This window comes from Homo sapiens, chromosome 4 (assembly GCF_000001405.40).
Source record: "Homo sapiens chromosome 4, GRCh38.p14 Primary Assembly".
Taxonomy (NCBI): Eukaryota; Metazoa; Chordata; class Mammalia; order Primates; family Hominidae; genus Homo; species Homo sapiens.
In genome coordinates, this window is record NC_000004.12 from 48014426 (window position 1) to 48040503 (window position 26078).

The 26078-nt window shown below is 39.5% G+C and overlaps 2 protein-coding genes across 6 annotated transcripts in view, besides 7 other annotated features; one reads left to right on the forward strand and one right to left on the reverse strand.

Moving 5' to 3' along the window:
• CNGA1 (cyclic nucleotide gated channel subunit alpha 1) overlaps positions 1-2256 on the reverse strand; it is an 80705-nt gene extending 78449 nt beyond the window's left edge. For all 3 annotated transcript variants that reach the window (XM_005248049.5, XM_011513623.3, NM_001379270.1), the window contains exon 1: positions 2058-2256. The gene's annotated coding sequence lies outside the window, so the exon portion shown is untranslated. The remainder of the gene's footprint in view (positions 1-2057) is intronic.
• Positions 1937-2438: an enhancer, noted in NCBI's record as "H3K27ac hESC enhancer chr4:48018379-48018880 (GRCh37/hg19 assembly coordinates)". NCBI's record gives its function as "activates a minimal SCP1, AML or CMV promoter by ChIP-STARR-seq in naive and primed H9 embryonic stem cells {active_cell/tissue: H9 hESC(naive and primed)}" and the evidence as "EXISTENCE:reporter gene assay evidence [ECO:0000049][PMID:30033119]".
• Positions 1937-2532: a biological region, named in NCBI's record as "H3K27ac hESC enhancer GRCh37_chr4:48018379-48018880".
• Positions 2203-2532: a silencer, noted in NCBI's record as "silent region_15401". NCBI's record gives its function as "represses an Ori minimal core promoter by ATAC-STARR-seq in GM12878 lymphoblastoid cells {active_cell/tissue: GM12878}" and the evidence as "EXISTENCE:reporter gene assay evidence [ECO:0000049][PMID:35858748]".
• Positions 2347-25748, forward strand: NIPAL1 (NIPA like domain containing 1). Of its 3 annotated transcripts, none has more exons than NM_207330.3 (6): positions 2347-2460; positions 10643-10909; positions 15695-15751; positions 18568-18658; positions 20456-20616; positions 21137-25748. In NM_207330.3, the coding sequence occupies exons 1-6, from the start codon at positions 2415-2417 to the stop codon at positions 21745-21747; spliced, it is 1233 nt and encodes a 410-aa protein (NP_997213.1). In that variant the 5' UTR covers positions 2347-2414; the 3' UTR covers positions 21748-25748. The 3 variants fall into 3 exon arrangements, with proteins under 3 accessions (NP_997213.1, XP_016863273.1, XP_047305598.1); XM_017007784.2 differs by having other exon boundaries at positions 2347-2426; XM_047449642.1 differs by lacking the exon at positions 21137-25748 and having other exon boundaries at positions 15695-15731.
• Positions 2823-2982: a silencer, noted in NCBI's record as "silent region_15402". NCBI's record gives its function as "represses an Ori minimal core promoter by ATAC-STARR-seq in GM12878 lymphoblastoid cells {active_cell/tissue: GM12878}" and the evidence as "EXISTENCE:reporter gene assay evidence [ECO:0000049][PMID:35858748]".
• Positions 13300-13369: a silencer, noted in NCBI's record as "silent region_15403". NCBI's record gives its function as "represses an Ori minimal core promoter by ATAC-STARR-seq in GM12878 lymphoblastoid cells {active_cell/tissue: GM12878}" and the evidence as "EXISTENCE:reporter gene assay evidence [ECO:0000049][PMID:35858748]".
• Positions 22248-22507: an enhancer, noted in NCBI's record as "active region_21533". NCBI's record gives its function as "activates an Ori minimal core promoter by ATAC-STARR-seq in GM12878 lymphoblastoid cells {active_cell/tissue: GM12878}" and the evidence as "EXISTENCE:reporter gene assay evidence [ECO:0000049][PMID:35858748]".
• Positions 22528-22587: an enhancer, noted in NCBI's record as "active region_21534". NCBI's record gives its function as "activates an Ori minimal core promoter by ATAC-STARR-seq in GM12878 lymphoblastoid cells {active_cell/tissue: GM12878}" and the evidence as "EXISTENCE:reporter gene assay evidence [ECO:0000049][PMID:35858748]".
• Positions 25749-26078: the final 330 nt, after the last annotated feature.

Consider the following 26078-nt stretch of genomic DNA (forward strand, 5'->3'; position numbering starts at 1 on the left):
GCAAGAACTACAACAAAATGCCTCTTACCTAAAGTAGACCTTAATATGCAACTGAAATTCAATAAAGATACATTTTTTAAAGTCTGTTTTGTTTTTTAATGTCCAATTACCAAATGGGTTAAGAGCACATACTTGAAGCCCAGCTTTCTTGGTTAGCATCTTGGTTCCACACTTACTGGTTATGTGTGCATAGGCCAGTTACTCAATCTTTGTGTGCCTCCATTTCCTCAGCTGTAAAGTGGGGGTAGTAGTATCTACCTTACAGGATTTTCATGAAGATTTATAAAGCAAATATTTACAAAGAGATTAGAATAGTGCTTGCCACATAGTAAATGCTATCCAAGTGTTTGTTAAATAAAAAATAAGCACCATAGATCACGTTTACCATCATTACTAATTTTTGATAAAGACAAAATTTTAAGTTGGAAATCCAAAGAAAACGTTTAAATAGAAGTCTAAGTTTTGGGCCGGGCTAGGTGGCTCACGCCTGTAATCCCAGCCCTTTGGGAGGCCGAGGTAGGCGGATCACGAGGTCAGGAGATTGAGAGCATGCTGGTTAACACGGTGAAACCCCATCTCTACTAAAAAAAAAAATACAAAAAATTAGCCGGGCGTGGTGGGGGGCGCCTGTAGTCCCAGCTACTCGGGAGGCTGAGGCAGGAGAATGGCGTGAACCCAGGAGGCGGAGCTTGCAGTGAGCCGAGATCGCGCCACTGCACTCCAGCCTGGGCGACAGAGCGAGACTCCGTCTCAAAAAAAACCAAACCAAGCCAAACAAACAAACAAGCAAACAAAAAGAAGTCTAAGTTTTAAGGCTTGTTATGGAAAATTGGCATAAATCTCCCTCGCTTTCAACTTTCACCTATTCCACTCTCCGTGGTGTTCCTTCTCTGCAAAGTCATCCATATGTATTATAAAAGTGGGTGCCTTGGACTGGTATGTTGACTAATTTGTTCTTAGCTCTTCTCTCATCCGCCTAAGAACAAGAAAAACAAGATTGAGGCCTCTGCTATGAAACTCTTAGGTAATAAAATTAATAGCACTGTTCATGCCTACTTAGAACAAAGGCTACCTGAGTACATGAGAATATTTTCCTCAGTGTTAAAATGCCAGAGCACAAAGGCACCCCAGTTCTCCCTGGTGAGGGTTTGAGCCCGAATTGTTCACTACCCCACCCCTCACCTTTTTTTTTCTTGAGACAGGGTCTCACTCTGTTGCCTGGACTAGAGTGCAGTGGTTCGATCATGTCTCACTGTAGCCTCCACCTCCTGGGCTCAAGTCATCCGTCCTCCCACCTCAGCCTCCTGAGTAGCTGAGACTACAGGAGTACACCACCACATCTGGCTAATTTTTGTAGAGACAGGGTTTCACCATGATGCCCAGGCTAGTCTCGAACTTGTGGACTCAAGAGAGCCACTCGCCTCAACCTCCCAAAGTGCTGTGATTACAGGGGTGAGCCACCCGCCAGCCCTGCCCACTCCTTGTTTTGTAAATACCTGCTATCAGGTCTTCCAACCTTGGTTTGGTTACTTAACCTCACTCTTTGCCTCTAATCCCTCATCTGTAAACTGAGCGTTAATAGACTGCTGTGAGATTTAATTAATACATAATGTGCCTGCATATGTATGGTATAACAAGGATATCATAAACATTAGTTATTAATAATTCGTGGAAATAAGTCTTTCCAGTTTTGGCATTGCTTTTCCCTTAAAGGTTTATTTCAAATACCCCTATGACCCAGAAAATGGGGCAGGGTAGGGGGAGTTGCCTGCTGGAGACAGAACGGAGAGTGGATGGATATAGCGGGCGTGGACGGACAGCGACAGAAGCTGATAACAGCACAGAAGGGCAAAGTCTGCTCAGCAGCCCCCAAAATAAACTTGAGCCTGGCAATCGGCGCAGAACCCCAGCAGTCAGCAGCTTCGGTGCAAAGCAACTAACACCTGAAGGCTTCCAAAAGCAGCAGGGCTCTCTCTAGCGGGGGAGCCTTTTCGACCAGAGAGGAGCCAGAAGGGGGCCTCAGTGCAGCCTCCACTCCACTCAATTCCCGGAGTTACCTTGGCGGGCTCCACGCTCCGAGAGACGCTGTTGCTCTATGAGGCGTGTCTGTGTTTCTCTAGTTCGCGGCTCCAGCAGTCGCGCCAAGGGGCAGCTGCTACTCCTGCCAGATACACCAGTTATCACAGGCCGCTCCCAGGCCTGCGGGGGCCCTGAGAATTCGCAACAAGCCCCGGGCAGCAGGGCTCGGCTGGCGCTGAGGCCCCGCCTGGCCATGCCCATTGGCGGAGGCTGCCCCGGGGGCGGGGTCAGGGCGCCCCATTCCCAGACCCCGCAGCCCCGCCCGCCGCGGGTGCGTGTGGAGAGGCCCAGGTGAGGAGCAAGCGCCCGCGTTCCGGAAGCCCGCTCCCGGGGCCATGGGGGCACAGGTGAGGCTGCCGCCCGGAGAGCCCTGCCGAGAAGGTTTGTGTCTGCCCTGAGCCGAGGGACCTGGCAGCTGGGTGGCGAAGAGACCGGGTGGGCGGTCCCCGGACACTTGCGGAGACTGGAAAGGGGGGCTGTACCGACTCTAAACGTAGTCGTTCACTCATTCATTCATTCAGTCAGTCGGCCGTCCAGCCAGGCGTTCAACACTTATTTATGGGTGCCTAGGCGATTCGGGCTGTGCTGGAAAACCTGAGTGGAATAAGGCAGGTGGGACTCCCACTCGATTCGCGAGGCCGACCAGTGTAAATTACCGCGTGCTGCGTGTGGGACGGGGAAACTCAGGATGCTATGGGAAGAATCCCGAGTCCCTCTGAGAAGGACGTTTCCTCTGACTCAGGCTCCCTTCCAGAGTCTGCGGCCGACGTCACCCGGTGGGCAGAGGGCGTGTCTGCCTGGGGGGCCCGTGGGAGTTCTGCGCTGCGCCCTGCGCTGGCTCCCGGGGATCGAGCACCGCGAGAGGTTGGGCGCCCGGGGCCGCGGGGGTGGGCGTTGGGCAAGTCTGGGCCGCCCACGTCTCTCCTCTTCCTTGGAAATGAAAAGGTCTCCAAACCCATGAGCCTGTCTGACTCGCTGTGCAGTCACTCTGGCTGCTTAAGGCGAGAGCCGTACTGGAGAGGAAACCTGGAACCGGGAGCACTCGTTTGCAGGCTCTTCTTACTGCTTCTCACCTGAGCCCCGTGAAATCTCTGGGCGAGGCTCCTTGCCCTTCGCCAAGTGTTCGCAACACTGGCGGGTTTTCTGCAGTCTCCATACAGAAGGCCCCGATAAAAGTAGGGAAGGGGGTAGGGGGAGCGACTGGAAGGATGTAGATACATTGAAATGATGGTTTTCGCCGTACCAAGGGGAAAGCAGCTTTTTAATTTACCTGATAATGCAGTAAAGGGGAAGGGAGGCAGTGAAAGGCATGGTAAGAACTACTATATATATACACATATATATATAGTTCCCTTACACATATATATATATATATATGTATATACATATACACCTTTGCAAAGGTGCTCGCAACTTCCCTAGTTTCCTCTCCTCTTGACTCTTCCAGCTTATTCCTTTTTAACAAGTGAGCTCGTCCAAACCATGCTAGCAAGGAAGAGAAGGGACACCAAAAAAAGGAGAAAAATGCCTGAACAATTCACAAGCTATTAAAAAAAATTTTTTAAGGCCGCTGGATCTAGAATTATTTTCTAGTCTTTTTTTCTGAAAAAGAGCAATAACGCCTGAACAACTCACAAACTATTAAAAAACAAAAATTTTAAGGCAGCTGAATCTAGAATTATTTCCTAGAGAGTCAGGTTGTGTGCCCTTTTTCTAAATAATTTCTAACCCAGCAAATCTGACAGTTACTAACACACCCACACTTGTTTACCCAAGGATCTGTAAGTAAGGAAGGTATATGAATTACACCCACTTGTTTGAGCTTCTGGATGTTTTTCCTGCTTTGCTTATGCATTGAGTTCCAACAAGAAACATTTAAGCTCCAGGCTTAATACCTGTGATTAACCATGGTAATTAATTGTGTGAAAAGCTGGTGAGAAAGACTTAGAAATCTGAATGCACGTTATTAGTAGTGGGAAGAGATTAGGCTTTGGCATCAGACAGTCTGAGCTGTAACTTAGCTTCCTTGAGCATTTTCCTGTCTATAAATTGGGGGTCATCCCTCCAGTTTACAGTTCTGAAGAGTAGGTGCAGGTGGGATTACATATGAACTACACCACTCAGAGCTTGACATGGAGTAAACAAAGACTCAATTTTTCACTTGTTCATTCAAATAACAAGAGTCCCATGTGCCAAGCACTGGCATAGGTGCTGGGATAGAGGGATCTGCAAGACAGTCTGGTCCCAGACTCTAGGACTAGGTTCCTGCTCTCAGGCACCTTACTGTTCAGATGGCAGCTACTATGCAAGAAACAAAGTAATTTAAAAGATCATTATAATAGCAGTAATGTATCAAGAGTGTTGGGATGTTTAGATTGGGTATTCAATGAAAGCCCCTTACGAAAGTGATATTCAAGCTGAGACCCAAATGACAAGGGGTCAGTCATGAGATCTGAAGATAGAACATTCCAGTTGAACTTCCATGAAGAAAAAGTTAATTTCATACTTTGGTTTTGACTTTTTTTTGTTTTTTTGAGGCGGAGTGCCACTCCGTCACCCAGGATGGCATGCAGTGGTGCAATTTCAGCTCACTGCAACTTCCACCTGGGTTCAAGCAATTCTCCTGCCTCAGCCTCTCAAGTAGCTGGGAATACAGGCACATGCCACCATGCCCAGCTAATTTTTGTATTTTTAATACGGGTTTCACTGTGTTGACCAGGCTGGTCTTGAACTCCTGACTTCAAGTGATACTCCTACCTTGGCATCCCAAAGTGCTGGGTTTACAGGCATGAGCCATCCCCCACCCCACATTGGTTTTGACTTTTAAAGCTATAGATGCTTCAAAAGAGTCTCTAATCCAAAATTATCTTTAAAAGAAACAAATGCAAATATGTATGAAGGTTGTTATAAAGCTGTAATTAAGCCATATGAGGAAGTCTATTTGATTGGGAACATATGATGGAAAGTGACTGAGAGGTTCCTTTAGATTGGGAAGGCAGGAAAGGCCTCTCTGAGTTGCTTAGTCCTCTCACTCAGAAGAAGCTAGCTATGCCAGCCAGCACTCTGTAACAGGCTCAGGAACAGCTGCTTTTTAAAAAGCTTAAGGTGAGAAGGAACTTATTCTATGAAAGGAACAGAAGAAAAGGCAATAGTAGGGAATGAGGTTAGGCAGCTGGAGACAGGATTCCACAGGGCCTTATAGGCTATAGTGGGAATTTTGGATTTTTTTCGGAATGAGAAGGGAAGCCCTTGTGGAGTTTTGGAAGGAGGAATGACAAGATCAGACCTACTTGTCTAAAGGTTCATTTCACCTGATCCTTCTCCCACCTACTCTTTAGCCACATCTCATACCATCTCCCTTTCTGTCACCCCAGGCAACCTGGCTGACTGCAGTTTCTTCAACCCCTCAGGGTTTCTGCTTTTAGACTTAGCAGAGAGGCTCTTTTGTTTAATCCTGTTTTAAAAAATATATTCCTTGATGCTGCTTTTACTACTTGCTATGGCACTCTTAACATACGTATAGTTATTTGTTTGTTAATCCTATCTGCCCCCACTGGAATATAAGAGAGCGGGACCATTGTTGTATTCATTTTTCTATCTCCAGATTCTAGAAAATGCCCAACAGGTAGTACACCATACATATTTGTTGAATGAAGGAAAAGAAGATTAGTGTTTCAGAGAGGGGTGAGAGGGAGAGTAATGCAATATGATGTCAGAGACGAGCCAGTTTCAGAGCATGAGAAGCTTTAAAGTTCAAAGTTAGTGAGGAGTTGAGATTTTGTTGTAAGTTGAGATGAAAAACCATGACAGGGGACAGGGAGTATTAAGCCAGGGAGTGATATAACCTACTTCCCACTGGTTAGCGTTTGGAGAATAAATTGTAACAGATATAAAGAGATTTCATTCAGTCATTCCCATGCTAATATGAATAGGCAGGTATATCACATATTCTTGCTTAGGTTTCTAGGTCAGCTGAAGGTTGACTGATCTAGATGGGGCTCACCTATATGTCTCTGCTTCAGGCTAATGTCCACCTGGGTTTGGCTCCTTCATGTGGGATGAGCTCAGATCTGCTCCATGTGTCTTCATTTGGGTGCAGAGGCTGAAGGGACAGCAGCTCCTCAGGGAATTACAGAGATGCAAATGAGTAAACCCAACCACATAAGCATCTTTGAAATCTAGCTTCATATCACTTCTGCTGACTTCCCATTGGCCACCAACTTACTTCCAGCCCAACATCAGGTGAAGCACCTTTGCCCACATTGGGAAAGGTAAGGGGCTGAATACTGAATGAATAATAATCCAAACTATCACAGTAGAATAGATGGTGAGACCCCCAACTGGAAATATCTTGCGGTGATTAAAAAGGTAGTTTTATACAATTATTGACTTTCTTAAAACCAGATTTCTATTCCATGTAATAAACTGGATAATTTAAATTATTATTTAAATTTATATTATTATTCTCTATAGGCAAATATTTGACAAATTATTTAAAGCATTTCATCCTTATATAAACATGAATAATAAATTTCAACTGGCTTTTTCTTGTACTTTATGTTTTTATTTTTCTGAAATAGAATGCTGGCTGGGAATTGGGTTACTTGGCCCTGGTTTTAGCAGTTACATAACTTTGGCCAGTGTCACTTAATATATTGGCATCAGTTTCTTTAAAATATCTCTCCTCTATCAGTGCCTATGAGTTTAGAACTGGTCCATCAGCAACATTTATGAGGCACCAGTATTGTAAGTAATTCTGAGAACAAACATAGGTTATGATCAAACTTTAGAATCATTGAGTCAAAGTCCCTCATTTTACAGATGCGGAAACTGAAACCAAGAGCCATTACTCAACTTGCCCATGATTATAGATAGTAGATCTTCATTTTTAAATGTTAAAGGTGTGTGTATGTAAACTATTACACCTGTACATAGAAGATAAATATTAGGTTGAAACATATGAAACTACTTGTCATAGGGTTCAAATTGTTCAGTTATCATCAATTTCATATAGTTCAACATAATATAAGAACATTAGAAGTACTGTTTGTGGGACCTGTAAATTACTTAAATATCAATCAACTATAAAACAGAAAAATTAGTTGTGTGATAGTTATACAGTGGAATTCTCTAGAACAGTGGGGAAAAAACAAATCCTGCAGCCTCATGCATCATGTTTTGATGAATCTCAAAAACAAGTCACCTAAGAACAAATTCTTTATCATTACACTTTCATAGGTGCAAAAAGAGGCAAAAGCATTTTCAAGATATATGGAGAAAATCTTTTTTATAAGCAAAAGAATGTTAAAGAGAAAATCAGGATAGTTACTAACTCTGAGGGGTGATGCTTTATTTCTTAAACTGGCTGGTTGATACATTGGTGTGTATATATATATATATTTATAATATATATTTCCTAAATATTCATTATTCTCTATTTAGAAAAATAACATCAAAGAAGAAGTACATGTTCGTGGCTAGCAAGAGTGTACTTTGGTACAGTCACTTTAGAGGACTATTGATAGTGTCTGTTAAAAATGAAGCATAATGAATGGAGTAGATGTTCTCTTTCTGTGGAATAAAGTCTGGATTAAACTCCCTGGAAAATTACTGTGCTTACTTAAATCTTGATAAGCCAATTGTGACTTGAGATGTCTTTGATTCCTTTAAAACACTCCAAATTCCCTGCCCACACACCATCCATTACCCATCTCTTCCCTTCTCCCGTAGGCCACTCCACATCCACTAACCCATCCTTTCTTTCCTCTTTCAGTCATATCTGCTGTAGGCTCTCTCCCTAACATGTTCCCAAAGCATAAAACAATTTAAGTCCTAAGGTCAGTAACCAGACAAGATTTTTATTATTTTTCCTGCCATAAAACTTGGAGCATTCATGCCTGCCAGTTGCAATGAGAACTTGCAAAATGCAACAGTGATCATTTGATCTCCCTTATGACCCTCTGCTCCCACACCCCCTACAATGTCAGAAACATTTTGCTGTATCAACAGCTTAGAAGGAATATTGTTTCACTGGAATGAGATCTACCCACACTGATTTCAGAGACAAAGTTTTGGAGTGGTTATGTTAACTGCATAGTAAATGACATGAATGCAGCCATGGAATTCACTGGTAAGTCAGGTCCGATGTTTTCTTAGGAATGAATGTAATCAAAATTCTTACAAAAATATACTTAATCACTTTCCCTTCTTGGGGCTTAGATGAGATAAACATCGTGTGGAACAAGATTGCTAAGGGCTAGCTTGCTTGAAAATTTGCAGCATCAGCCTGGCCAACGTAGTGAGAGCCCATCTCTACAAAAAAAAACTAAAAAAATTAGTTGGGCATGGTGGTGCATGCCTGTGGTTCCAGCTACTTGGGAGGCTGAGATGGGAGGATCATTTAAACCCAGGAGGTCAAGGTTGCAGTGAGCCGTGATGACACCACTGCACTACAACCTGGGTGACAGAGTGAGACCCTGTCTCAGAAAAAAAAGAAATGAAAATTTGCAGCAGTTAGGATATTTAGTTTTGACTTTGAGTTTATTCTGGATTTCTATTTCTTTGTTTTGTTTTGTTTTTGTTTTTGTTTTTGTGGAGATCTCGCTATATTGCCCAGGCTGGTCTTGAACTCCGGGGCTCAAGCAAACCTCTAGCCTCTGCCTCCCTAAGTGCTGGGATTACAAGGGTGAGCCACCATGTCCAACTATTCTGGATTTCTGAAACAAAGTTGGATCATTTTCAAATTACAGAGATAAATGAAATAATAGTCATGAAAACCTTGAATTCCATTATTTTATTATTTTCCAGACCTGAACTTCATGGGTGTTTCTTAACTTTGCATGTGGTAAAATTCAGGTGGCTTCATGAAGCTTTGCCAGGGGTACATAGGTCCACTTATGGAAGTCTTGTTGCTAAGACATCATTTGATCAAACTGCCTCTTGTTGCTTATATGCCTTCTTAAGATTTTTGAAATGTAAAACTTTTCTAAAAATTGAATTACAAAATTGTTTCTGATTAATTTTCCTTTACCCTCTTTTGTTTAGGGTAATTCATAATGGGAGAATTTGCCATTTTTAAAGGAAAGATGGGAAGACAGAACATCTTGTCACAATGTCACCTTGTTGGTGTCTTTTCAAGTGGAGAACAGATTATAAAAAGTTTCTTACATAGTGTAAAACGTTTTCATTTTGTATTTTAGTGTTTAGCCTCAAAATTCCAAGACATTTATAATAGTGGACTTGGTTCAGGGGATTTACATGCTTCTTTGAATCTCATTTTTTAAAAAGCCTAATGATATTTAAATTCTTTTTATTAGATTCCATTTTCTTTAGGACAAAGTGGATTAACAGACCTGAAAAATCAACTAAACTAGAAAACTAAACCCACTTTTAAAACGTTTTTTGAAATATATAACTCTTCATACCCACCAAATGACTCATACCCCACCAAATGAGTTAGACAGATTTCTTCTTTTTTTTTTTTTTTTTTTGGAGATAGTCTCGTTCTGTCACCCAGGCTGGAGTGCAGTGGCGCGATCTCAGCTCACTGCAGCCGCCTCCTGGGTTCAAGTGATTCTCCTGCCTCCACCTCCAGAGTAGCTGGGACTATAGGCATGCACCACCATGCCCATGCCCCGCTAATTTTTGTATTTTTAGTAGAGATGGGGTTTCACCATGTTGGCCAGGCTGGTCTCGAACTCCTGATCTCAAGTGATCCACCCGCCTTGGCCACCCAAAGTGCTGGGATTACAGCCATAATGCTCAGCCAATTTCTTTTTTCTTTTTTTCTTTTTCGAGACAGGGTCTTGCTGTTACCTAGGCTGGAGTGCAGTGGTGTGATCGCAGCTCGCTGCAGCTTCATCCTCCTGGGCTCAAGCGATCCTCCCTCCTCAGCCTCCCGAGTAGCTTGGACCACAGACGTGCACCACCACGCCCGGTTAATTTTTCAATTTTTTTTATGTAGATGGGGTTTCACTATGTTGCCCAGGCTGGTCTCAAACTCCTGGGATCAAGCAATCATCCCACCTTGGCCTCCCAAAATGCTGGGATTACAGGTGTGAGTTACCATGCCCAGCGAACAGATTTCTTGCAATGTGATTTCTAGACTGAGGTTGCTATGCTTTCTCCCTACATTCAGGCCCCACAAGCCCTGCTTTCCAGTAGCCAGGCTGATAATGCAGAGTGAAGTGGATGTGATGGGCTGTGTTGAACTGTTGAGCACAAGCCGGTCTGAACAGCTATTCGCTGCTCCATCAAGTTGCTGATTCACCAGAACAAAGACATAAGTGTTCCCAGATCGAATTTATAGGGGGAATCCAGGCTTTCATGTGAAATAGCTCATTTTTAAATGATGACAGCTAAACACTTAAAAATCATTTTTAAAAATCTGTGCAAGCCAAATTGACAGTGTCTATAGGTCTGTGGGCCACCTGTTAGCGACTTCCCTACATGTAGTAAAATGTTTCAGTACCATCCACTCAAGGCTCTGTTTCCTGCAGAAAGCCGGTAAGCATTAATACCTCTCCCTTTCATTCCTGACATTCTCTTCTTTCCTTTTTTCCAGGATATGTGCTGTCTCTGGTCTGTCCAAACTCCTCCCAGGCTTGGTGTGAGATCACAAATGTGTCACAGCTGCTGGCTTCTCCTGTGCTCTACACGGACCTGAATTACAGCATAAACAACTTGAGCATTTCAGCAAATGTAGAAAACAAATACAGTCTTTATGTGGGCTTGGTACTGGCAGTAAGCTCAAGTATTTTTATTGGCTCCAGCTTCATACTGAAAAAGAAGGGCCTCTTGCAACTGGCCAGCAAGGGCTTTACTAGAGCTGGTAAGAAACACATGCAACTAATGAATTTAAGTTTCTAACTGCAGAAATGATGTGAGGCCACATCTCAGCAATACTCTTATAAACTTGCTTGTGTAATTATAGTTATTGATTTTTTTTCCATATGGATGTTAGAAAAATACTTAGGTCTTTGATTAAAATGAATAGAAAACTCATGGTTAATGAAGGGATAGTCAGGCAGACCTACTCAGCATCTTAAGTGTCACTATAAATAGCAGCCTAATTCCATTGCTATCCATTTATTGATTTAGTAAATATCTATTAGGTGCCAAACACTGCTAGGGAAGGTTCCTGTTCTTGAGAATCTGCTATAAATGAGCAAGTAAACCTGTCAGCAATAAAAAAGAACACATGTACAACTAAGAATTATCCTAGGCTACAGTAATAATAACTCACTGGCTCGGTTTATCTTAGTCTCTATCTTCTTGATGGAGTCAGCTGTGTCTCCCAGTCTCTGATCTCTGCCACCTCTCCAACTTCCTCTTGCTTTTCTCCCCATCACCTACTTTTCTCTTGTTCCTGGAATATGTCTGGTTCTGTCCCACCCCCAGGTCTCTTCCCATTGCGTGGAACCCTTCTCCCTGCCCTTCATTCAGCTCACTCATCCTTCAGACTTCAGTGTGAGTAGCATCACCTCAGAAAGGCCTTCCTTGACCATCCTCTCACAGCAGGTCTCCCCACCCCACCCCCGTTATTCTCTGTCATTGCACTAATAGTTTCCCTCACCGTACCTAGGATAATTTTTAGTTGTACATGTATTGTTTATTGTTGCTGACAGGTTTACTTGCTTATTGATAGTAGATTCTCAAGAACAGGAACCTTCCCTAGCAGTGTTTGGCACCTAATAGATATTTATTAAATTAATAAATGGACAACAATAGAATTAGGCTGCTATTTATAGTGACACTTAAGATGCTAAGTAGGTCTACCTGACTATCCCTTCATTAACCATGAGTTTTCTATTCATTTTCATCAAGTGTACTATAAGATCTAAGCTTTTTTCTAACATCCATATGGAAAAAAATCAATGATTATAAATTACACAAGCAAGTTTATAAAAGAGTACTATTGAGAGGAGATTTGTACTATCAGAAAAGAAAACATATGCTGTATTAAAACAATTTGATACTGGCATTAAAGCGACAAAATCATAACAGATAATTTAAAACTTATAAGTGGACCCAAGTATATATAACAATTGAATTTGTTATTTTAAAAAGTGACATTTCGAAACTGTGGAGAAAGGACAAATCATTCAAAGTATTGAGATAATTGGAAAAAATTAGAGGAGAAAAACATGAAAGTTCTGCTTCACACCATTCAGCAAAATACATTCTAGATAGGTTAGAATTTAATTTAAAAATAAAATTTTTTTTTTTTTTTTCAGACGGGGCTTTGCCCTGTCGGCCAGGCTGGAGTACAGTGGCATGATCTCGGCTCACTGCAACCTCCACCTCCCAGGTTCAAGCGATTCTCCTGCCTCAGCTTCCCAAGTAGCTGGGATTACAGGCATGCACCATCACGCCCAGCTAATTTTGTATTTTTAGTAGAGACGGGGTTTCACCATGTTGGCCAGGCTGGTCTCAAACTCCTGACCTCAGATGATCCGCCCGCCTCGGCCTCCCAAAGTGCTGGGATTACAGGTGTGAGCCACTGCGCCTGGCCAAAAAATGAAATAATTTAAAAAAAAAAGAAGGCTTTTCTAAGCATAAAGATAAATAATTTATTTTATATAAAGGAAGAGATTATCTAGATTGACAAAAAAAATCCTATATGGAAACACTTTAACTGAAACTAAAAAGCAAATGATATATTGGGGGAAATATGATGAAATATGTGACAAAGTATAGTTTCATAATATATAAAAAGTGACTGCAGTCAATAAGTAAAAAGGTTAGTACCCTAACAGAAAATAGACATGGCATATAAACAAGAAACAAACAAAATAAGAAATGCAAATGACCAATAAACATACGTAAGTAAATATTGTTTCACTAGTACCCAAAGAGATACCAACTAGACAATAGTCAGGTTCAGTGTGGTAACATAATTCCAACTTAGTTATTTGTAAATGTAATGACCAATAAACATACATAAATAAATATTGTTTCACTAGTACCCAAAGATACCAACTAGACAATAGTCAGGTCCAGGGTTGTAATATAATTCCAAGTTAGTAATTTGCCAATTTCTTAAGAAGAAAGTCCTAAATAAGCACAGTTAACTACTTTGCAAAATAGTCTTCATAGCTTATATATCCTGTTTAATTATAACAAAATCAATTAGGTCAAATGCAGAGGGCTAAGTATATTAAAATTGATAAGAAAACTCCATTTTCTATAGTAAATATAATGACAAAGTCACAGATTAGAGTAGTAGGAAGATAACCTTTTGAATACCTTAAAAACATTTTGTCCTTTTCAGTAGACAAAACAGAAACTTGATTTCAGCATGACAAGGTAGAGGTTAAGCAGAGTGCATCTGCCCAATGCTTGTTATTCTCTCATTGACTAATCCAAACTCTCAAAAGCTCTTATGTCAACCATCTTCTTCCCTTTACAGTCCTCATTACTACCAATGTAATTTACTATTTATGTTTTCTGTTTTTAATTTTAACCATAGCTGAAATGAAGTATTTATGTCCACACCTCTGACTGACATAAATATGGTGAACCTGGTGATTAAATAAAATTTCCTACAAATTAAGAAAAACTTATGATTTGTGGAAAAACAAAGGGATGACATGGAAACATCATACAGAAAGTTTTAAGCAATCCTAAGCAAAAAGAACAAAGCTGGAGGTATCACAGTACCTTCAAATTATACTATAAGGCTATCATAACCAAAACAGCATGGTACTGGTATAAAAATACACACATAGATCAGTGGAACAGAATAGAGAACCCAGAAATAAAGCCAGATACCTACAACCAACTGATCTTTGACAAAGTTGAAAATAATATACGCTAGGGAACGGCTACCCTATTCAACAAATGGTGCAAGGAAAATTGTAGAACCATATATAGAAGAACGAAACTGGACCTTATATCTGACCATATACAAAAACCTACTCAAGATGGATTAAAAACTTAAATGTAAAACCTGAAACTATAAAAGCCCTAGAAGAAAAACTAGGAAAAACTTTTCTGGACATTGGCCTAGGCAAAGAATTTGTGACTAAGTCCTCAAAAGGAAATGCAACAAAAACAAAAATAGACAAATGTGACCTAAAGTAAAAAGCTTCTGCAGAGCAAGAAAAATAATCAACAGGGTGAAAAGACAGCCTGCAGAATAGGAGAAAAAACTTGCAAACTAAGCATCTGACAAAGGTCTAATACCCAGAATCTACAAGGAACTCAGACAACTCAACAAGAAAAAAACAAACCCATGAAAAAGTGGGTAAAGGATATGAACATACATTTTTCAAAAGACATGCAAGCGACCAACATATATATGAAAAAATCCTCAGTGTAACTAATCACCAGAGAAATGCAAATTAAAACCACAATGAGATAACCATCTTACACTAGTCAGAATGGCTATTATTAACAAGTCAAAAAACAACAGATGTTGACAAGAATGCAGAGAAAAGGGAATGCTTATACTCTGTTGGTGGGGATGTAAATTAGTACAACCACTACGGAAAACAATATGGAGATCTCTCAGAGAACTAAAAATAGAACTGCCCTTTAATGCAGCAGTCCCACTACTGGGTATCTACTTTAAGGAAAAGAAATCATTTTATGAAAAGACACTTGCATTCAAATGTTGATCACACCACTATTCACAACACCAAAGTCATGAAATCAACCTAAGTGCCCATCGACAGAGGACTGGATAAAGAAAATGTGGTATAATTATATACACACACCATAGAATACTACTTAGCTGTTAGAGAAATGAAATCATATCTTTTGCAGCAACATGGACGGAACTGGAGGCCATTATCCTAAGTGCAGTGACTCAGAAACAGAAAATCAAAAGCTGCATGTTCTTACTTATAAGTGGGAGCTAAACCATGGGTACACATGCACATTCAAAGTGGAATAATGGACATTAGAGATTCCAAAAGGTGGGAGGGTAAAAGGGTAGAAGCAGGTGAGGGATGAAATACTACCTGTTGGGTTCAGTGTTCACTATTCAGGTGATAGATACACTAAAGGCCAGACTTTACAGTAGATTTATGTAACACAACTACACTTGTACCCCTGAATCTATTTTAAAAATCAGGAAAAATAAAACAAAAATGAACTCCTGATTCATGAAAGAATAAAATGGGTGACAAACAGAAAAATGCAGATTGAAATGACATACCATTTTAAGACTCAAATTTGCAAAGTTTTTAAAAAAATTGACATAACTTTTCTGGAGGGCAATTTGGTAATACATGTAAAGTTCTTTAAAAAATGCATTTCCTCCTACCCAACAATTACACTTCTAGGAATTTATCGTGAAGAAATAATCATTCCAGTGTTGCAAAGGTAAATGCGTAGGGAGGTTCGTGAGAGCATTATATTTATAACAGAAACACGGAAAAAAATCTAAATGCAATTAATCCATTAGGGGATTTGTTAAATCATTGTAAATTGGGGGAAAAAAAGCTTTAGAAGAGCTTTGGAAATGACCAAGTAAATAAGCTAAGAGACTTTAGATTTACTGACTTAACTTTTCTAACCATAATCCAGTACGCTTCCTAGAAGTTAATTCTTCAAACCTTCCTCCAGTGTAGAACCCATTTTTTGTTAATTTTTACTTTTTGTATTTTAGGACAAGGTGGACATTCTTACCTGAAGGAATGGCTCTGGTGGGTAGGATTGCTGTCAAGTAAGTTTTTAATACTGAGAATACTGTTTATTTGTAAGATAGTAAATAGATTACATGAAATTTTTCATAATTGGTTAATCTTCCTGTCAAGAATGGAACAAGGATGGAATTTAAGTCTAAACATTTTTGTGTTAGTCAATATATTGTCCTATATATACTATTATATATAAATAAATTAATTTTTACTCTTATTTCCCACCCCCTGTGCTCTCAGTACTGTCCTGGAATGCAAGGGAAAAAGTTGACCTTTGAAATATTACATTTTAACCACAGACTTCTTGTATTTTCTTCACCATAACAATAGAGAAAAGTACTTTTCTTTCATATTTTCCCACCTCCTAATTAGAACAACTATTGTAGCTGCATATTTTCTCAAGAAAGAGTACAGTTTCCTTGCCAGGACAACACGGATAAGTGAAAGGCTTCTGTGGCTGCTTGGTACTGAACAAATGGAGAAGAAATGAAGGGTGTCAGCACTCTCCTTCCTCCCAGACCTGCTGTGAGGATTAAACGAGACTTTACAGGATCTGAAAGCACTTTCTAAATGCTAATGTGATGTCCAAATAGAAGGCAGTGTTCATCTCCCTCAGCCACTTTTGCTGACTTCAGTCTCCCCACTAAGTGAAATTTCTTAAATCCCAAAGCGGAGGCTCCCCTCAAAAAGGGCATCATAAATTCCCTCTGTAGCCAGGAGTCTTAAAGCTTCCCTGAATTTCCCCAAACCAAGCAACACATTTCAGTATTTGTAAGATCCTGTTATGAGAAGGAACTGGGTACCTTTTCTTTAATAAATGGTGGAATCTAAAAGGATGATTAATAAAGAGAATTTAAATATGTATAGCCCCTTCAGTTCTTGTTTATTGTGGATTTTTTTGGGGTTTTTTTGTTTTTTGTTTTGTTTTTTTTGAGATGGAGTCCTGCTCTGTGGCCCAGGCTGGAGTGCACTGGCAGGATCTCGGCCCACTGCAGCCTCTGCATCCCAGTTTCAAGCGATTCTCCTGCCTCAGCCTCCCGAGTACCTGGGATTACAGGCACACACCACCACACCCAGCTAATTTTTGTATTTTTAGTAGAGACAAGTTCTCACCATGTTGGCCAGGCTGGTCTCGAACTCCTGACCTCAGGTCACCCACCTCGGCCTTCAGAAGTGCTGTGATTACAGGCGTGAGCCACCACGCCCGGCCACCCCTTCAGTTTTTAGGGTGCTTTTACATCCATTTTCTTTATTTGAATAAAAATTGACAAGGGCTGTCTGGGAAGATTCCAGATAGGTATTTGGATCTTTCTCTTTTTCTGTCTTACTTGCATCTCCCCACCCTCTACCCATACTTTATAATGAAAATATGAGGAGAGTATTATGTGACTACATTTGCAATTTTGTTTTCACCGTGTAAAAAAGTTTATGTCAGTATTGAAGAGAGAAAAGCATACATTAGAGATTAAGTAAGTGATATATATACAGTACTTTAATCATGAAGTCGTTGTTTTCCTGGAAAGCTATCTATAAAGATAAAAATATAAATAATATAAAGTATCCAAGGAAACCTTAATATTCCAAGAAAACTGCCACGGTTTTTTTTAGACAGAGTCTCGCTCTTGTCGTCCAGGCTGGAGTGCAGTGGCGTGATCTCGGTTCACTGCAACCTCCGCCTCCCAGATTCAAACGATTCTCCTGCCTCAGCCTCCAGAGTAGCTGGGATTAAAAACGCTTGCCACCACACCCGGTTAGTTTTTGTATTTTTAGTAGAGATAGGGTTTCACCATGTTGGCCAGGCTGATCTCGAACGCCTGACCTCAAGTGATCTTCTCCCCTCTGCCTCCCAAAGTGCTGGGATTACAGTCATGAGTCACCATGCCCGGCCTTGCCGTGATTCTTTCGATGATAGCAATGTCTTAATTATTCTGTTCTGTAAATTTAGATTTGTTTAATGATGTTTTCCTAATGGTGAATACTCCTATAGATTTGGGGGGATGTAGCGTAGCAGCCAGACAAAGGGAAAAAGAAAAAAATCATGCTGGTGTTCCTTTCTCTCTCTACAATAAGCATTTGCCTGGTGTAGTTGCCAGCATGAAATACTACATTCTGTGGGCAAGTTTCCCACTGTGTTCTGTGAGAATAACTTGGCCCCAGTACCAGAGCCCAGCTCTTGAAGGGATTTCTCTCACTCTAGAAGTTATTTATAGCACACTATATCATGCAAGTCTAGAGTTCCTCAGATAAGAAAAAGATTACATTCAGGAGCATATCATGACTTTAAAACAGCTGCCTGGATCTCGTTAAGCTACTGAGATACTGTTACTTGCTTATAGATCACTTACAATAGAGGGATATCTAACTTCATGGGCCTATGGCAGGTATTTCTGGCTATTCCCTACCTACACACCAGATTTAACCATTCTAATTTTCCAAGCTGGTTTTGGTTTCTGTGGGTAACCTACAAAGCTGTAGGTATTCTTGAGCAAGTGAAATAATTCTCTGCTTACTACAAAGCTACCTCTACTAGATTTCATTAGAGTCACCAAATATGTCTTCAATATTGAAGTAGCTAAAAATTTCTATTGAAAGCCATTTAAAATGAGTACTCATCTGTCACCATTTTTTGCATCTTTTGAGTTTATCACCTGGTATTACAGTTTGTCTGCATCTCTTAATATTAATTATCTCCTACCTGCTATAAAACATGTTACATCATTCTTTTTAGCTAGATCTTCCCATGTATTTGGGTTAAAAGTCCACTGCTTTGCATGAGTCATTTGTTTTTCTCTTCTGACAAGTAAGCCCATTTTTTATATCAATATCTCTGCTTGCTTTCTAGTGGGAGCAGGAGAGGCTGCAAATTTTGCTGCTTATGCTTTTGCACCTGCCACCTTGGTCACCCCTCTGGGTGCTTTGAGTGTTCTCATAAGGTATGTGAGCAACAGGGAACTTGGCTTCTGTAGGTATTTTAAGACCAAGATAAACTTAAACCATAATAAACATATGGCTATGGATATCTAAAAGCAAACACACAAATCTAGACCAACCTGGGCTCTAAAAGTCTAGATGAACCCAAATTATTTCTGAGGCTCCTGGGAAGCTTTGGTCAAGTCACTCAGGCTCAGTTTACTCATTCATAAAGTGAGAACAATACTTTTTCTTGCCTGAAATCACAAAAATAACTTGAGAAGACTATAAAATAACAGTAGAAATAGGAAATAGACTGTCACATTATTATTTTAAAAACCTAAGACACAGTGAGTTTGATTTCCTACTAACATAAATGTGTTTTACATTTGTAACACTGCAATGAAGCATAGAAGATTTTTTAAATCTCTCATCAGAACAAATTGCCAGAGTCCTGTCAATTATTTTCCTCATCATAGTGGTTAATGACCATAGTTATCAGAGGACTTTTACAAGCATGGTGTTTTGGTTAAATTTTAACTCTCACTACAATTCTTGCATTGTTTGCTGGATACTTCTGTTTGGAGACCCTGTAGTTTTGATAGTGGAAACAGGAATAATTTTCCTATTTCATGGAATGTGGATCTAATTTTTCTGAGTTTATTATGATCCCAAATGAATGTGTTTGATAAGCATATACATTTTTGTCTGTTCTTTTCTTGTCTTTTTGTTTTCTATTCATTACCAACCTCTAGTATAAAACCTATGATTGAGCCTACTAAATTCTTTTTAGCTTCTGTATAGGATTGTTATGAAAATTAAGTGAGTTAATACACATAAAGCACTTCAAACACTTGTCTATGCAATGAATAGCTAGTAGTAGTAGTAGTAATAGTAGTATCTTCACTAAGGCTGCAGTCCTAAAGGTGGCCACATGAGGGCAACTCTAGGAAAGTACCTGGTAATTTATCATAATCTTGAGGACAGATGGGTACTTAATTGCCTTCATGGGGATGCCAGAGCATTAGAGGAAGGAGGCTGGCTTGCAGAAACCACAGCAACTGAAGCATTAGCAGTACTGGATAGGTCTAAGTATCAGAGCAGTAACAGGTGGTAAGGAAGTATTTTGATATTTTGAAAGTCTGTATCAAGCTTCTCCAACCCATGGCCCATGGGCTGCATGTGGCCCAGGACGGCTTGGAATGTGGCCCAACATAAATTTGTAAACTGTCTTAAAATATTATGAGTTTTTTTTGTGATTTTTTTTTCTTTAGCTCATTAGCTACCATTACTGTTACTGTATATTATGTGTTGCCCAAGACAATTCTTCCAGTGTGGCCTAGGGAAGCCAAAAGATTGGATACCCCTGGTCCGTTTGATTGTAGTGGTGTGAACTAGCTGATTATTAGCCCTGAGCAGAGTAATTTTTCTTTAGGAATGTATCTTTCTTGGAAACATCCATGGGCATACATATTCTAAATGTATCATGCCAGTAAGATATAAAAGATTTTCTATTTTGTTTGGCTTTACAGGAAAAGATGGGTAAATTGAAAATGACTTGAGTAGAACCTCTTGTAAGATCACTGGAAGATTATGGGATATAGAATATTATAGCTCTTTAGATATAAAAACAGTGAAGCATATTTGATTGCCCATCAGTTCTGAGTTTCAAACCAATCTAGGGTTTCAGTGTCATATAGCATATTCCAGTCAGCTCATTGGGATACATGGTGGCATGTACCACAGTGTGACTTCTGAGCTGCCATGGGATCAAAAGGTAATTGAGCTATAGTGATTTTTAATTTTTTCTCTCCCAACAGTGCAATATTATCTTCCTACTTTTTAAACGAGCACTTGAACATTCATGGGAAAATAGGCTGCATATTAAGTATATTGGGGTCAACTGTGATGGTTATCCATGCCCCACAAGAAGAGGAAGTCACATCTTTGCATGAAATGGAAATGAAATTGAGAGACCCAGGTCTGTGATTCAACCTAAAGAACCACTCAAATTCTGCTCCACTTTCTCTCCTCACCAAATAGTATCTGTAATAATATTGTAATAAGCTTTCTACATTGTGGGCCGCATTGTGGGTTGTGAGACACAGTGAGGTTTGATTATTATTTCTCCTGAAAAGATGGCAGAACTTATTTTTGTGTTCATGCTTCCCCTGTTACACAATGAAAGGGAGAGGTGGGGATGGTAGAGGCAAAAGACATATATTCAAAATCAAATCTTTGCCACTCTCTTCCTCTGAAAATAAAAAGTTAATCTGATAATATTCGCCCTAGCTCATAGTGGTATTGGTGAGATTTAAATGATATGTTTGTGAAAATCCTTTGTAAAATATTGAGAACTATGCAATAGAATGTTGTTTTTAATTTGATCTCACTTCTATTTCTAAAATACCTATGCTCTTAAACTCATGACTAACAAGATTTCAGAAAGGTATAATCCTGTGAGCATTTTCTAAAGTCAAATTCTTTTCTCCTTCTAACAGGGTTTATTTCCTTTGCTGTGATCATAACTGTGATCTCCTTGGTGCTGATTTTGATTGTGGCTCCCAAGAAAGGACAGACCAATATATTGGTTTATATTTCAATCTGTTCCTTGATTGGAGCGTTTTCAGTTTCTTCTGTGAAAGGCCTGGGAATTGCCATTAAGGAGCTGATAGAATGGAAGCCAGTTTACAAACATCCGCTGGTCTTTGTTTTGCTGGCTGTACTTGTGCTTTCAGTAACTACACAGATTAACTATCTCAACAAGGCACTGGACACCTTTAATACCTCTCTTGTGACACCCATTTATTATGTATTCTTCACATCCATGGTAGTGACTTGCTCTGCCATCTTATTCCAAGAGTGGTATGGCATGACAGCTGGAGATATCATTGGGACCCTGAGTGGATTCTTCACTATTATCATTGGCATCTTCCTTCTACATGCTTTTAAAAATACTGACATTACTTGGAGTGAGCTTACATCCACTGCTAAGAAAGAAGCCGTCTCTCTGAATGTCAATGAAAACAATTATGTTTTACTAGAGAACTTGGAGTGTTCAGCCCCAGGATACAATGATGACGTTACCTTGTTTAGTAGAACTGATGACTGAAGTCTCTAGAAACACTGAGTTTTAACCAATATGAGACACACGAAGAGGAAAATGAATGCTTGCTTCTTGGAAGAACTGCTAGGAAAGTTAGCATTTTTGCAGTTCTAACTAATTTAGATGTGAGGCCAAGTAAAAATGCCATTTTTTTGGCCATTGAATTTGAAAATCAAATTGATTATCCTCCAGAATCTCTACAAACTTTGAAATACTCTCTAAGGATCAAAGAAGTCAAAGAGCTATGTGTGTCTCAGAATAATCTCCTTCTTCTGGTCACAGTATCTTTGTCTCTGCCAGGTGGCTCTTCATTTCTTTGGTAGCTATTTTTAGACTTACAGTCATTCACCAATATACAGTTAGCAGTGTTCTGATAGACACAGTATCAGTCATATTCTCCGTTGAGTCATAATTTCAAACTCAACAAGATTTCAGAAAGGTATAATCATGTAATTTCTCATATTAAAACTGAGAAGAGAGGCCAGGCATGGTGGTTCACACCTGTAATCCTAGCAGTTTGGGAGGCCAAGGCGGACAGATCACTTGAGCTCAGGAGTTCGAGACCACCTTGGGCCACAAGGCGAGACCCTGTCTCTACAAAAAATACAAAAATTAGCCAGGCGTGGTGGCACATGCCTGTAGTTCCAGCCACCCGGGAGCCTGAGGTGGGAGGATTGCTTGAGTCTGCGAGGTTGGGGCTGCCGTGAGCCCAGATTGCGCCATTGTGCTCCAGCCTGGGTGACAAAGCAAGGCCCTGTCTCAAAAAAGAAGAAGAGAAAGGGCCAGGGGCTTTTGCTTTAAAAAACTTTTTTTAAAACAGAAGTGAAACCACGGGTGCTTTGTTCTTCCTTCTGCACCTCCTTCTTAAACTAGATAGCTAATTAGTTATTTTAAGAAAAAAGAAATTTAAAAAAAAGCCTGCTTTATTTGTTAGTGGGCTAGAATACACAAGACATACCCACCCATGAAGAGTTTATGAATTGTAACTTATTGACATTATCATAGGAATTTACTACCAGTTAAAGAGGGAGAACGGAGGAAGAGAAAAATACTTCAGATAAAGGAAAAAGTTTTCTTCTCACAAAAACACAGACACGTGATTGTTTTCACAGGTTCCATTAATTAACTCAGGTCTGGAAGACATAGGACAAAATGGAGTTTCTGAAGAAGTCCAGGTGAATTCAGCTTTGGAGTCACTTATGTTCATTTTTTTTCCTTTTCTTTTACTATTATCCTAAAGGTTATTTTTCTTGTTGATATAGAGATTTTTGTAAAAGATTGCTACATTATTTCAGGATTATATCCTACATTTCGATTGCTCTCAAATGTTTTATCCCTAAAGAGTGAGTTTTCCACAGACTGTTTGGAAGCAACTAGAAAAATCTTTGTGAAAAATCTGAACAAATTATCATAATGGCTCTCTTGAAATTTTGCACTTTCACCCTTATTAAGGAAATTATAATTAGTTACTAACCTTTAAAAATAGATATATTCTAATAGGATAGAAAGTTAACTTCCTGGCAAACAAAATACTAAGATCTCAGGGGCTACTGCAGGAAAATACCTTTTTCGCACATTAAAATGTTTATAAAATTTTCCCCTCTCATTTCAAATGCATGGCAGGAATAACATTTTTGGTGGTCTTTAATGTGATGGACAGATTTACTGTCACTTATTGATTTTATGGAAAATAAATTGGCTATCTTATTTTTATAACAATCTTATTTTTCTCAAAACAAAAATCCTAACCAAAAAGTTGTCATTAAAAAAAAAAAAATTCAGGTAGACTGAATGTTTTTCTGCTCTAACCTTAAATGTTATTAGGTTTGGTTTTTGTTTCTAAGCTACTTCAAGACTACCTGAGGTAATAATGGTAAACTTTATTATTCAGAATTCGATTAAACTAACTTCAGCATTTCCACAGTTCTATTAAACAATGACTGATGTTCACAATGACAACCTACCTGAGATGGCTGCAAGGCCCTAATGTTCCATTATACATTATAGTCTTTTCAGCATAGTTTAGTGTTGAGTGCAATTCTAATGCATTCTACGTTTTTGAAAATCGATAATCCATGGAAGGTCCATGGGTTGATACCTCAGGTCAAAAATGTGTTTACTCTGTTGATTGCTGTTTCACTTTACTTGTATATCAGATATATAAGCTATGAACACAAGTTTGTAGTAAAAGTATCTTCTGTCTGGGCAATGGCTCACACCTGTAATTCCAACACTTTGGGGGGCTCAGGTGGGAGGATTTCTAGTCCCCAGGAGTTTGAGACCAGCCTGGGCAATAAACTAGACCCCATGTCTCTAAAAAATGTAAAAAACATCAAGAGGCTGAGTCAGGAGGATCATTTGAGCTTAGGAGTTCAAGGCTGCAGTAAGTTATGATTGTGCCACTGCATTCCAGCCTGGGTGACAAGAGTGAGACCCTGACCCAAAAAAGTATCTTCTGATAAAGTGGCATTTGAAAATTGCAGAAATTTTAATATTTTTTCTTTTAATATTAAGAACTTTATTGATCTCTCTAGGACACCTTGGTGAGGAAATTAATGGCACTTTTCTTGACATCCAACCTGGGACTCTGGTGATTCTGTGTTCTGGCGAATTTAAGTTTCAGACATTTCTTTGTGTCACCTTTTACAAGGTGTTTGCCCTTGGTACGTTATGACCAGGTCAAAGGTTCCCAAACACAAGGCTCATTGTGTACCCTGGACAGGAAATTGAACTGATGTTGACATGTATGCATGCCCAGGAGGAAGACTGGGAAAGATTTAATGAGTTGAAGTATGCTGAGAAACAATGAAATATTTGAAAACTGTCTACATAAAAGTTACTGATGCACATGCATTAAAAAAAAAAATGTTGTTGCAAATCTAACACTAAAAAATTTTTGACTGGGTGCAGTGGCTCACACCTGTAATCCCAGCACTTTGGGAGGCTGAGGCGGGTAGATCACAAGGACAGGAGTTCAAGACCAGCCTGGCCAACATGGTGAAACCCCGTCTCTACTAAAAATACAAAAATTAGCCAGGCATGGTTGCGGGTGCCTATAATCCCAACTACCCCGGAGGCTGAGGCAGGGAATTGCTTGAAGCAAGGAGGGGCAGGTTGCAGTGAGCCAAGATTGTGCCACCACACTCCAGCCTGGGTAACAGCAAGACTCCGTCTCAAAAAAAAAAAAAATTCCCAAATAGGAAGATATTTTCTAAGGAAGAATAAAATGCTGGACCCCTATATTCAGACTATTAGTCTTAACTGGTAGTTTATGTATATATTTTAATACTTTGTCATCATGTACATATCTTAAGATTTATTATGTGAATATCTGCATGTGTGTTATTAAGGATTACAAAGTTGTGCTCACACAGGACAAATGGAAAGATTTTCCTACTTCTGTAAAGATAAGTTTCATTATACTTTTGTCTTACAATTTTATTCTTAGGTCAATGGTTATTTATTATAAGTTCAGATTGCACAATTTTCATAAGACCCTTTGGATTTAGCACATGAAATTAACACATATTTTAAAGTATTAAATACATGGAAAGCATCTGGCATTATGCCTGATAATAGGCACTTAGTAAAATGTACTTTTCTTTGAATCAACATTTGAATTCTTACAGTCTTGTCACTAGAGACTTAAAAGGACCATTGAGTGCCTATTTTTATACATTCATCTTTTCTCAATTTGTCACATTATCTCATTTTAAATAATGCAAGTGAAAGTGAATTCATCATACTATCTCAACACCAATACAAAATTATTCCAATAAAAATATTTTTCTTAATAAAACCAGAAAAACTGAACTAAATGCTATTTAGCCCCGCCAACAAAGCTTTGTGGAAAAATATATGAATATATGAAATGTTCTCAAATATTTTGAATAAACTGTTCATGAAGCCTTATATTTTGCAAGTGTTTTTACTGTTGATTTTAGAAAGTTTATAAATCTTAAATGTTTGTATATTTTTCATTTGCAATAAAATGTTATTTAATTATGCTTTTGAGTTCAGTTTTTAGTTTATAAATGTTAAGCATATGTAATGGCAAAACTATTCCCATTTTGTTTTGAGATTAAAAGGAAAGTTTCAGGCTGGGCCGGTGGCTCATGCCTGTAATGTCAGCACTTTGGGAGGTCGAGGCGGGCAGATCACTTGAGGTCAGGAGTTCGAGACCAGCCTGGCCAACAAGGTGAAACCCTGTCTCTACCAAAAATATAAAAAATTAGCTGGGTATGGTGGCACGCGCCTGTAATCCCAGCTACTTGGGAGGCTGAGGCAGAATTGCTTGAACCTGGGAGGCAGAGGTTGCAGTGAGCTGAGATCATGCC